This window comes from Homo sapiens, chromosome 12 (assembly GCF_000001405.40).
Source record: "Homo sapiens chromosome 12, GRCh38.p14 Primary Assembly".
NCBI classification, from domain to species: domain Eukaryota; kingdom Metazoa; phylum Chordata; class Mammalia; order Primates; family Hominidae; genus Homo; species Homo sapiens.
This window is the reverse complement of record NC_000012.12, coordinates 116,340,073-116,353,450: the sequence shown is the minus strand read 5'-3', so window position 1 is coordinate 116,353,450 and position 13,378 is coordinate 116,340,073. Positions and strand designations below refer to the sequence as shown.

General features: G+C 44.5%; 1 long non-coding RNA gene across 1 annotated transcript, besides 1 other annotated feature; it reads left to right on the top strand.

The window, feature by feature from the left end:
* The first annotated feature begins 2,723 nt into the window (after window positions 1-2,723).
* Window positions 2,724-13,155, top strand: LOC105370005 (uncharacterized). The gene is made up of 3 exons (XR_945392.2): window positions 2,724-2,804; window positions 7,201-7,334; window positions 13,081-13,155. It is a non-coding gene; the product is annotated as an uncharacterized LOC105370005 (long non-coding RNA).
* Window positions 5,953-6,247: a silencer, noted in NCBI's record as "tiled region #4817; HepG2 Repressive non-DNase unmatched - State 23:Low". NCBI's record gives its function as "represses a minimal TATA promoter and a strong SV40 promoter by Sharpr-MPRA in HepG2 cells {active_cell/tissue: HepG2}" and the evidence as "EXISTENCE:reporter gene assay evidence [ECO:0000049][PMID:27701403]".
* Window positions 13,156-13,378: the final 223 nt, after the last annotated feature.

The window sequence follows — 13,378 nt, the reverse complement described above, 5'->3', positions numbered from 1 at the left end:
GAATGCAAATTACGTAATGCATTCCAAAGTCAAATAGAAATTATTATGGATTAGCACAGATAGTGAGAGCATGGAATCTGCAGGATATGCTCCTTCATGCATTCAGTCACCCACTCAGCAAATGTTTATGCACGGAGAGGGTGGCCAGGGAGAAGGGGCTACCGCCCCTTGGAGTTTTAAGCTTGCTGCCCTCTCAGCTTTCTACCTTATTCTGAGCCACAGGTGGACAAAGGGAGGTTGTAAAAATAAGGCCTCATGAGAAAGAATCAGAGGAACAAGACACTACAATCTGTTGAGGAAACAAGTGGGCAGGACGTGCAGTGGAGTGAAAACCCCAGATCCAGCCAAATGTCAGGGAGTTTGAGCCCTTCTTGTCCCTGCTGGAGACCCATTCCTCTGTCCTCAACATGCCCCAGCCTATTAGGTTGGATGGAAGCACTTCCTCCTCCTCCAAACTCATCTTCCATGTTTCTGGCTGAGCAAGGGGACTCAGCACCCCTGTATTCCAGTCCTTGCCTCACTGCAAGGACTTGGGTTCTAAGTTCCTGAGCCTGCCTGGTAACCTGACTCTAGACCCCAGATACCCATGACTTGATGCATTGTTTGGTGCTCATGGCTCTGAACAGTCTATGCTCAACCCTGCTCAACCAGTCAGGATTACATTTGACTGCCTATAACCAAAACCATTACAGTGGCTAAACACCTAAGGATCTATCTTCTCTCTAAACAGACATTGTGGTATTGATTGAGTGGCCCGGTCATGTCAGAACCACTGTCTCAGATTTCACCATTTACTCATGATCACACAGTGGCTGCCACAGCTCCGGTCACCTTCCCAACTCAAGGCAGTAAGAGGGTGGCAGAGACAATGCCAGCTGTGAACTCATTTGTCAAAAAAGCAGAAGCTTTCTGCATAGATCTCATTGGCCAAAACTGGGTCACATGGCCAGATTGCTTAAATCCATCTCGATCCAACCTCTGAGGCTGGCACATTGCTACTCCAAGCAAAATTGCATTCTGTTAGCAAAGTCGAATGAGGGAATGAATATTGGGTAACTAACTAACAGAGTCTATACAATGGTCAAAGCAGCTAAAAGGCAGGCATCAGCTTCTTCTCCAAAGATATTAATTAATAAATCAGTGGTGCCACAGATGAAACAAAGAACTTTTTTTTAGGGACTATGTAGCATCTATCTCACCTTCTTTCACCTGTGGGTGGGGACTAGGCAGGAGGTGGCAAGTTGGCAAGGATAAACATACATGACAATATCTACCTTTTACTGCCTCCAAATGCTTTCAGTACGTTGTTTCATTTTATTCTGTTAACACCCCTGTGGAGTTGTCTTTATCATCTCCATTTTTCAGATGTAAAAACTGAAGCACAGGTTGCTTCATTGAATCCACATTCCACGCAGCCAAGGCTCAAAACCTCCATGATGTAGACATGGTGGGTTTATGAAAAAAGCTGGGAGCCCAGCAAGCCTTTCAAATTATGTTTAAGAACAAGCTTCTGGTATAACAGCATGTTCGAAACACTTCCAGGAACATCTGTGCTATTCCCTTGTACTGGGATATGGAGGCCCGAGCCCCTCTCAGCATCTGGGCCACTCCCATTTATCCTGCCAGCGAGCTCAAGCTGTTCCTCCAGGAAACTTCAGGAGCTGTACCTTTTGCCTGGACTGATTCATCTTTCCTGCAAGCTCCTTGGGCCTGGCTCCCCTTCTAAACCTGTTTTTGTTTTTTTTGGTTTTTTTTGGTTTTTTTTGAAACAGAGTCTCACTCTGTCGCCCAGGCTGGAATGCAGTGGCGCAATCTCGGCTCACTGCAAGCTCCGCCTCCCGGGTTCACTCCATTCTCCTGCCTCAGCCTCCCGAGTAGCTGGGACTACAGGCACCCGCCACCACGCACAGCTAATTTTTTGTATTTTTAGTAGAGATGGGGTTTCACCGTATTATGCAGGATGGTCTCGATCTCCTGACCTCGTGATCCGCCCACCTTGGCCTCCCAAGTGCTAGGATTACAGGTGTGAGCCACCGTGCCCGGCCTTTTGTGTGTGTGTGTGTGTGAGATGCAGTCTTACTCTGTTGCCCAGGCTGGAGTGCGGTGGCGCGATCTCTGCTCACTGCAACCTCCGTCTCTCAGGTTCAAGTGATTCTCCTGCCTCAGCCTCCAGAGTAGCTGGGATTACAGGTACCCACCAGCATGCCTGGCTAATTTTTGTATTTTTAGTAGAGACAGGGTTTGCCATGTTGGCCAGGCTGGTCTTGAACTCCTGACCTCAGGTGATCTACCTGCCTTGGCCTCCCAAAGTGCTGGGATTACAGGCCACCATGCCCAGCCTACCCCTCTAAATTTTATTAAGCTCCCTGAGGACAGGAACCATGTTACTCTTGTTCTCTGTTTAATCCGCACTGTCTAGAACGGTGCTTGGAGCTTAGTAGATGTTCAGTTACATGGTTTCAATAAGTATATTTTTGTAAATTACTTTAAAACATCAATGCCTCCAATGCCTACAGAAGTGTCCAAATTACTTAATGTGATGCACAAGCTCCTTGCTGTTATTTATTTTTTTAATTCTATTTTATTTTACATATTTATTTTTAGAGTCCGGCTTTTCCTTGGTCACCCAGGCTGGAGTGCAATGGCACCATCACAGCTCACTGCAACCTCCAACTTCTGGTCTCAAACGATCCTCTGGCCTCACCTCAGCCTCCTGAGTTGCTGGGATTACAGTCAAGAGCCACTGCACCCAGCCCCCTCACTGTTGCATGAATGGATGAATGAGTTGATTATGAACCGTTTTGGTAAGGCAAGATGATCATTGCATTTTGGGTAACAACATTTGACCTGTAGATAGTCTGCACTCCCAGAAATTATGACATGTCTGCAAATACTTGGCATTGTTATTTAAGACATCTATTGACAGGGTACTAAGAGTTATTGACCAAGCACCCACCTTGGGTCAGGCACCAAGCTGGATCCTTCATGTACTTTACCTCGTTTAATCCTCCAACAAGCCTATGATCAAGGAAGGCATTTTGCCTTCTGGTGGTCTGACGCAACAAAGTAAAGTGGAAGGATTGGGGGCCATGAAAGACTTAGACTAGAGAAGAGAGGGAGGGATAAGAAAAGAGTGTTCAAAGATGAAGGTGGGGGCTGGGCATGGTGGCTCATGCCTATAATCCCAGAGCTTTGGGAGGCCCAGGCAGAAGGATCCCTTGAGACCAGGAATTCAAGATCAGCCTGGGCAACATACTGAGACATCATCTCTACAATTTTTTTTTTTTTTTTTTTTTTTGAGACAGAGTCTCGCTCTGTTTCCCAGGCTGGAGTACAGTGGCATGATCTTGGCTCATTGCAACCTCCGCCTCCCGGGTTCAAGTGATTCTTGTGCCTCAGCCTCCTGAGTAGCTGGAACTATAGGCACCCACGACCACACCCGGCTAACTTTTGGATTTTTAGTAGAGACGGGGTTTCACCATGTTGGCCAGGCTGGTCTCCAAACTCCTGAACCGAGGTAATCTGCCCACCTCATCCACCCAAAGTGCTGGGATTATAGGCATGAGCCACCACGTCCGGCCTACAGTTTTTTTTTTTTTTAAATTTGCTGGGTGTGCTGGCACATGCCTGTAGTTCCAGCTACTCAGGAGGCTGAGATGGGAGAATTGCTTGAGCCCAGGAGGTCGAGGCTGCAGTGAGCTATGACTGGGCCACTGCACTCCAGCCTGGGTGACAAAATCAGGCCCTGTCTCTAAAAAAAAAAAAAAATTAAAGTGAGTGAGGGTGAATTATTAAAGCTGGAAGGCTGGCGATGTGGGGAGGTTGCTACTCGGAGGGAACAGGTGGGTGAAACAGAAACTCTGAGGGTGGAGATTTTCAGGAACACTTCAGTGAGAGCCACCGAGGCACAGCCCAGTTGGCTTTCGTTGAGTCAGGGGCTTTCGGTCACAGATGAGGCATCTGTTGTCCAATATTTGTTTTTATTTCCCTGCATGGTTAATTATTGTAGACGGTGGCTGATGAGGCAGCAGCCCTCCTGCCCAGAGAGCCAGGGTTATCTGCAGTTTTATAGCCCTGTCACATAGTAATGAAGCAGATAAACTCCTAGGTGGTGGCTGCTTGGACAGTAATTAAAAACTCTGCTGAAAAATATGACCAAGAAGTGGGGAATATCTATGGCAGAAAGAGACCAAAGAGATATAGGAACAGAACTGGTGATTGGAGCTGGTTCAGTGACCCTTGTGCTTCCAGAGCAAGCTGCCTGGGTGGTAGCTTGGCTTCTCTGCTCCTGGAAATGTCAACCTTGCAAAGGTAGAGGCTTCTGTGCAGGTGCTCAGCCCACATTTCCTCAAAACAACCCCAAGTGGCAGGTATTCGCCTATCCTGCCTCGGAGAAACAGCATCGAGAGGCCATTTGACTCCTTTGTAAGCCTAAATTGATGCAAGTCAGGTTCTGTGTTAAGTTATTTCCCATGTTTTAACTCAGGGGTCACCTGTAATTTAAATTTTGTGTCATTTTCATGTATCACAAAATATTATCCTTCTTTTGATTTTTTTCCCTACTTTTTATAAGTTTAAAGATCATTCTTAACCCGTAGGCTATATGAAACATGCAAGCAGGCAGAGCGTGGTGGCTCACGCCTGTAATGCCAATTCTTTGGGAGGCAGAGGTGAAAGGATTGCTTCCACGAGTTCAAGAATAGCCTGGCCAACATAGCAAGACCGTGTTCCTACAAACAATTTTGAAACTTAGGCCAGGTATGGTGGCTCATACCTGCAATTCCAGCACTTTGTCAGGCTGAAGTGAGAGGATGACTTGGGCTCAGGAGTTCAAGACCAGCCTAGCAACATAGTGAGACCCCCAACTGTACAAAAATTTCTAAAAATTAGCCAGGGGTAGTGGTACATGCCTATAGTCCCAGCTACTTGAGAGGCTGAGGTGGGAGGAGTGCTTGAATCCAGGAGGTCGAGGCTATGGTGAGCTGTGATCACACCACTGCACTCCAGCCTGGGCAACAGGGCATGACCTGTCTCAAAAATTTTTAAAAACAGGTAACAGATTTGCTGTCTTTTTGTAATACATGAAAATGACACAAAATTCAAATTTTCATATCCACAAATAAAGTTTTAAACAGCTTTATAGAGGTATAATTTATATACCATAAATTTCTCTTGAAAAGGTCCAATTCAATGATTTTTTAGTATATTTAAGGGAGTGCCAAAAGGCTCAGTATCAAGATAAGTAGCATTTTATTACAATATTTTTAAAAATAAAAATTAATGCCAAAAATTCATGGTGAACAAAGCATCAATGTCTTAGACAGAGACAGACTCAGTAAAAGTGCCGTGCCAAGGCATACTGGAGACAGAGGAAAAGGGAAAAATCCATAATACTGATCCTGTCTTTATTAAAAATTTTAATATTTTGTTCATCATGAATTTTCCCATTAATTTTGATTTTTTAAAATATGGCATTAAAATGTTTATCTTGATCGCTGAGTTTTTTGGCATCACCTTAAATTTTGCAGCCAAAGCGAGTCCTGGGCCTGTGCCTGAGACCCAGAGGCTGGAGGAAGTGGCATTTAAGGTGAAGGCAGTGAAAAGAGACAGGGGAGGGCACAGCAGATTCCTAGAGCCTTGGCTTCCTTGCCAATGACAAATTTTTAAGTTTTCTGTTGAGTTTTTTTAATTATAAAGATAATAAGTGGTCGTTTGAGAAAAATATAAACCATCAAATAGTAAAAGTAAAATTCACCCCAAATTCCATCACTCAGAGATAATTGCGGCAAACATATTTTGTATTTGCCCTTCTAGATTGTTCTCTATGCATACACACAGAAATTGATCAGTATTCAATTTATATAAATGAGAACACACTGAGCATGCTGTTCTGTAATGTTCCTTTTCATTTGACAGTATGTCATCAGCATCTTTCTATTTCAGTAAATGCAGACCCAAAGCATCATTTTTAATGGCTGCATAGTACTCTATCATAAGGATGACACATTTAGAAAATAAACTCCCTACCCATGAGCATCTGAGCTGTTTCTGATAAGAAGGGATTCTAAGAGTAATAACTTCCTTCAAATCACTCCCAAACAACTGATTTCATCTTCGCCTTCTCTTCCTGCATACACAGGACATCTTTTTAAATGGTTGATATCATAGTGAAATTCCATTTTATATTTTGCAATGCTTAATGTATGGTAAACATTTTTCTATGCTGTTCTATAATCTTTATCCAAGTTTTTCTTATTCTAGAGGTCAGCTAACGCTACTCTTTTTTTTTTTGTTCATGTTAATATTCTTTTAAAAAAAGCCTTTAAAGAAAAAACATTCTTAACTCGCTGGCCATACTTCGCATTTTTTTTTGTTCATGTTAATATTCTTTTAAAAAGGCTTTAAAGAAAAAACATTCTTAGCTGGCTGGCCATACAAAAACAGGCCTCTGGCAGAATTTGGCCCGTGAGTTTGCTAGCCTACGTATGAGTCATTTTGACACTCTTCTCTCTATGCTGCAGTGAAGGTCTCTGTATACAGCTCTTCCTTCTTTGGAATCATTTCCTTTGGACAACTTCCCAGGAATGAGATTACAGAATCAATGGACAGCATGGTTTTAAATGATCCCTAATATATATTGCTGTATTATAAAATTGTGCCACCCAGCAACTTGTGAACATCAGGTTTCTTTCAACCTCACCAGCATTTGGTAGTTAAAGAAAATTTTTTTTTAATGTATCAGTTTAAATTGTATGCTAATTTAGCAGGTATAAAATAATATCTTGTTTTCATTGCTATCTCTGTTCTCAAAGTAGGGGATGTTTTCATGTGTTCGAGTGCTCTTTATTGAGAATCAACTAAAAAGAAGTGATCTTGAACCCCCAGTTCAAAGATCAGACCCTCCTTTGGCTCTAACACGAGTCTGCATGTAACCCCACTGTTGCATTCAAATGACAGAGAGAAGCCCAGTGCAGCCTTATCGCTCTGTGGCAGAAAAAAAAAAACAAAACAAAACTGGAAAGTAGGTCGAGGAATTAATCCTGCTGGTTCCAGTAATTAGAGTAGACAATGGGGTCGAAAGTTCAGGCTGAGCCTGGAATGCTGCCTGAGTGTCTCTTGCAAGATCTGGACATGTTGCCCCCTGCTCTCTTCCCTATCATCGGCAGTTCCTAAGTGCATTTTCTTTTTCCCCTCTTCTAGCTTAGGGGGACATTTCTGGCTTTTCCTCCCATGTGAAGTCAGATGGACCAGAGGTGGAAATGATCCCACTGAGAAACCTCTTTGCTTCTAAAGGGACCTCTCAAGGGTCTCCTCCTGCTTGTCTTCGGCAACAGGTAAGCAGTGTCAGTTCCTCTCCTTAGACAAGTCCAACACAACACGAGATGCTGCCTTTACTTCCAACGCGGGTTTGCACATCACTCTTTATTTAGCACATTTGATGCATGGAAATGGTAGCGTCTAATAAGGCTCATAGTGTGGGACTCTGGTAGAAGTGTAAGATTTCAAATGTAAGATAAGGGTTAAACTTAATGATAGGGCCTTTCTAACCCTTTCCTGAAAATCCTCTAACCAGGCTTTTTACATAAAGCACAGATGACAAACTCAACTGGCTAAAGAACTAGACCATTAGACTCCAACTAAGTGGAGGAAGCCACTGGGAGGACAATAGGGAGTGGTGGGGACTATGGTGAACAGAAAAGTGCATTCTTGTCTTCAAAGCATTTACACTCAACGTTTTTTAAAGACATGGTTTCAGCCCAACAAAACATGTTTGCAAGGCTGAATTGGGTCCCCAAAGACCCCAGCTTGTGAATTCTGGAAGAGCCATCAGCCTCTTCCATCTTTTTCACAGCCTCTAACTCCTTGTTTCGATCTCTCTACTTTCCCACCCTTTCTCAGCATCTCTTTGCTAGGTTCGTCTTCACTCCACTGTAAAAAGAGCCAAATCTTCTGCTCTTTTTACAATGAGGGTTGGGTTTGGCAGGCATCACTTCTCCAAATAATCTTATTATGATCTCCACCAAATGACAGCCACGGGCAAAATGGGGGACAGGTGGGCTCGTCTGAACATCTCGAGTTGTAAGGAACAGAGATCCAATCAGGCTCACCTGAGTAAGACAGGATTTGTTTAAAAGACACAACTTTCTCAGAAACAAGGGTGAGAAATAAATAACTGAAAGGTCTCCTGAGAAACTGAGTGACTGGGGCATGAGAAGAGGGAGGCATTGCAGGGCTGTGACAGAGTTCTCAGGGGTAGAACTTGAGGGCAGGGAGGTATACTAAAATGAGCCTGTTTCACAGGATTTGGGAGCAAGCATATCATTCATTTAATATACATGAGATTTTGACTGTTTTAGACCGAGTATCCCAGGAGTGCCCACCAGGAATACAACCTACCCCTGAAACTCACAGAGACACATTCACCCACCTGTTTTCCCAACCTGCATGTGGAATTCAACTTTCCACCAAGGCATCAGAGATGAGTTGATGATACCTCATTAATTAAATTTAACAAGCTGTGTGGCCACCAATTAAGAAATATGGAAGGATTTCTGCTTCCCTAGTGCTGAACTGGAATACCATAAAATGAGCCTGGGGAGAGAAATGAAACCACCCCCTTGTCTGATGCCTGGCCTTGTGTTTCCAGGCTGGGTTCTGGCTTGACCCAGTTCCTGGGGTCAGGGCTGGGATGGGCAACACCAAATAGTGAAGAGTGGAATGAGCCAGAGATGAGAGCAAGCTGAGCCCTTAGAGAGACAAATGATCAGGGACAGTGAAGCTGAGTTGGAACAGCAAGTCCAAGGAGAAGAGAGTAGCACTAGAAACAGAAGTCCAAGCTAAAAGACCTGAAAACAGGAAGAACGGGAACAGAGGAAAGTCATCCTGACATTGGTTTCTTAAAAATGCCAAGCATGGGCCGGGCGTGGTGGCTCATGCCTGTAATCCCAGCACTTTGGGAGGCCAAGATGGGTGGATCACCTGAAGTCAAGTTCGAGACCAACCTGGCCAACTTGAGGAAACCATGCCTCTACCAAAAAACACAAATATTCGTCAGGCATGGCGGTGCATGTCTGCAACCCTAGCTACTCGGGAGGCTGAGGTGGGAGAATTGCTGGAACCCAGGAGGCGGATGTTGCAGTGAGCCAAGATCGCACCACTGCACTCCAGCCTGGGTGACAGAGCGAGACTCCGTCTCAAAAAAAAAAAAAAAAAAAAAATCCCAAGCATGGCCGGGTACAATGGCTCATTCCTGTAAACCCAGCACTTTGGAAGGCCAAGGTGGGAGGAGCGCTTGAACCCAGGAGTTTGAGACTAGCCTTGGCAACATAGCAAGACCTTGTCTTTACTAAAAATAAAAAATAAGCCAGATGTGGTGGCATGTGACTATAGTCCCAGCTACTCAGGAGACTGAGGAGGGAGGATCATTCGGGCCCAGGAGGTCAAAGCTGCAGTGAGCCATGATCACGCCATTGCATTCCAGCCTGGGTGACAAAGTAATACCCTGTCTTAAAAAAATAAAATGCCAAGCACCTTCCTGGCTCAGGTCTTTGAGTATGTGATTCCCTGACCTAGAATACTCTTCACCTGTTTATCTGCATGGCTGATCACTTTGCATGCTTGAGACCTCAGCTTTATTGTCATGTTCTCAGTAAGGCCTTCAATAGTGGATACCATTAATTTTGCATGCTTAACATTCATACTAGTTTTGGAGGTAACAGGATCATTTTCAGTGTATTGGTCAGTTTTGATGCAGTAACAAACAACCCCAAGGTTAGTGGCTTCCAAGAACAAACATTTATTTCATGTTTGTTACATTTCAGCTGCTACAGCTCCATGCATCTCTCATTCTGGGACACAGTCTAAAGGAACAGCCCCTATTTGGGACAAGCTGTCCATATGGCAGATGGAAAACAGCAGGTGACAGAACTGAATCACACAATCTCTCTTAAAGCTTCTGGTCAGACTTGGCATTTGTCATATCTGCTCACAGTTCATTGATCAAAACAAGTTGTGGCCAGGCACAGTGGCTCATGTCTGTGATCTCAGCACTTTGGGAGGCCAACGTGGGCAGGTCAGGAGTTTGAGACCAGCTTGGCTAATATGGTGAAACCCCATCTCTACCAAAAAATATTAAAATTCACCAGGTGTGGTGGCGTGTGCTTGTAGTCCTAGCTACTCAGGAGGCTGAAGTGGGAGAATCGCTTGAACCTGGGGGGCGGAGGTTGCAGTGAGCTGAGATCACAACACTACACTCCAGCCTGGGTGACAGAGTGAGACCTTGTCTCAAAAAGCAAACAAACAAACAAACAAAAAACAAGTTGTGTCCAAGTCTGTCGGGGGTGGGAAAGGATATACCACTGCTGGGAGGCACTGAAATTTACATGACAATGGACAGGGATGTATAATCCCATTACAGGAAGGGGAGCAAACAGTTGGGAACAATAATACAATCTACCACAATTACCAAAAAATACGTTTGGCTGCAAGTAACAGAAGACCACCTGATAAACAATGACTTAAAAAAATAAGGATTTATTTTTCTCACAAAACAAGAGATCTAGCTTAGGTAATTCCAGAGTTGGTTCAACCCAGCAATACCAAAGTCTGTATCTCTGTGAGTCGCTTGCATTTTCTATCGTGGTTGCAAGAAAGCAGATGACTGTCATTCCAAGGTTTATGGCCATGTTCAAAACAAGAAGAAGTGGGGAAATGGTGGTACTGGCAACACCTGTCCCTTTTATTCAAAAGCAAAAGTTTTTCCGGAACACCTTCTTCCATCCACAGCAGCTTGTCTCATTGGCCAGACCTGTGTAATACACCCATCCCTTGCTGCAAGGGAGGCTAGGAAGGCAAAGATTTTGCTTTTTCTAGTCTTGACAATGGAAATTGGCAGAGGGAATGAGGTAGAAATGCGTGTTGGTTTGGCCAGCCAGTGGGGTCCACCATGGAACCCCTGTTTTCTTCCTGCATTCTACATGGCCTTGGAGCAACTGCCAATCAAGGTTTCCTGCCCTTCCCTTCCCTCCATGCCAAATGAATAAGCCCTTGACCCAAATGAACCAAAGACAGACAATGGCTGACATTGATATATCATGTACGTGAGACACTTAAGAGACACTCCATTCATTCTTGCTCCCTACATCCCTAGAATTTGTGTGGTTCTGGTCATTCCTTCACAAGGTCCAGTTTTTCCATTGCTTCTGCAAGTCTCCCACATCTTTCCAATAAATTTCCAGCATCATTTTCTGTTGCTTACAATCACAGAACCCTGGTTGATACATCTTTTGCTATGGTTTGGATGTTTGTCCCCTGAAACTTCATGTTGAAATTTGATCCTGCCAGGTGCAGTTGCTCACTCCTGTAATCCCAGCACTTTGGGAGGCTGAGGCGGGTGGATCACGAGGTCAGGAGATCGAGACCATCCTGGCTAACGTAGTGAAACCCCATCTCTACTAAAAATACAAAAAAATGAGCCAGGCATGGTGACCGGTGCCTGTCATCCAAGCTACTCGGGAGGCTGAGGCAGGAGAATGGCATGAACCTGGGAGGTGGAGCTGGCAGTGAGCTGAGATTGTGCCACTGCACTCCAGCCTGGGCAACAAAGCAAGACTCCGTCTCAAAAAAAAAAAAAAAAAAAAAGCCCGGGTGCGGTGGCTTATGCCTGTAATCCCAGCACTTTGGGAGGCCGAGGCGGGCAGATTACCTGAGGTCGGGAGTTCGAGACCAGTCTGACCAACATGGAGAAACCCCGTCTCTACTAAAAATACAAAATTAGTTGGGCATGGTGGCACATGCCTGTAATCCCAGCTACTAGGGAGGCTGAGGCAGGAGAATCACTTGAACCTGGGAGGCTGAGGTTGCCGTGAGCTGAGATCACGCCATTGCACTCCAACCCCGGGCAACAAGAGCGAAACTCCGTCTCAAAAAAAAAAAAAAAGAAAGAAAGAAAAAAAGAAATTTGATCCCAATGTTGGAGATGGGGCCTAATGGCACAGATTAATGTACAGATTAATGCCCTCCCTTGTGGAGAGTCCTCACTCTATTGGTTCCCTTGAGAATCTGGTACATCTCTCCTCTCTCGTTCGCCCTCTCCTGCCATACAATCTCTGCACACACCATTTCCTATTTATCTCCCGTTGGGTGGAAGCAGCATGAGGCCCTCACTAGAAGCCGATGTTGGCACCATGCTTTTTGTACGGCCTGTGGCAGTGTGCACCAAAAAAACTTATTTACAAATCACCTAGCCTTAGGTATTCCTGTATAGCAACATAAAATGGACTAAGACATCTTTCCTGACCACTGTGTTCAAATAGGGACTCCCATGCCATTCTCTACCTCAATACTTTTTTTCTGGAGACAGAGTTTTGCTCCGTTGCACAGGCTGGAGTGCAGTGGTACAATCTTGGCTCACTGCAATCTCTGCCTCCCAGGTTCAAAATGATTCTTGTGCCTCAGCCTCCTCAGTAGCTGGGATTACCGACTTGTGCCACTACGCTTGGCTAATTTTTCATACTTTTAGTAGAGACGGGGTTTCCCCATGTTGTTCAGGCTGGTCTCAAACTTCTGACCTCAAATGATCCCCCCCATCAGCCTCCCAAAGTGCTGGGATTATAGGCATGAGCCACTGCACCCAGCCTCTACCTCAATACTTTATTTTTTTAAGCCCATGAAATGTTATCATTGCTTCATTTATTTATATAGTGTCTTTTTCTGATACCAGACCATAAGTTCCATGCAAACAGGGAATGCAACAGTCTTGATGACTACTACATGCCCTGGATCTAATATACGCCTGAATATATTTGAGTATTATTGAATATTTATTAACTGAATGGTCGGCTTAGGCATTTAGAGGTCAGAACTGGAATTTGAATGTTATTTATAATATCAGTTGTTTAAAGCATGCTTTATAGGTAACTTATGGTGGTCTAAAAGTGCAAGTTGGGAATGACGTTAAGAGCAGCTGGAAATGTCAGGGATATCGAGATGGGGGACTAAAGCACCCAGGAGAGTAGATTACTGAATTTCCAGATCCTAGAACAGTGGCTCTCAAATGCTTTTGATCTTTGGCTCACTTAGGCAAGGCCAAAGACCCTTCCTCCCATCTGCAGCCACCAGTTCCTGCTTTGTGACTTGTGCAGTAGGAGTTTTGCAGCATTGAAAAGCATCATGCAGGAGCCAGGCTTCCAGAAGATCCCTGCGGCTGAGTTCTCGGTAATTCCCAGTAACACTCTAATTTTAGTTATGACTAGTCAATTGTAGTAACTCACTTAGTAGGTTCCTAGAAAGTGGCACTTAGTCATGCATCAAGCTGGAAATCAACGGATATATGTGTAACTTGTTCATAAGAACCAGAGGAAGAATGTGACCTTTTAGG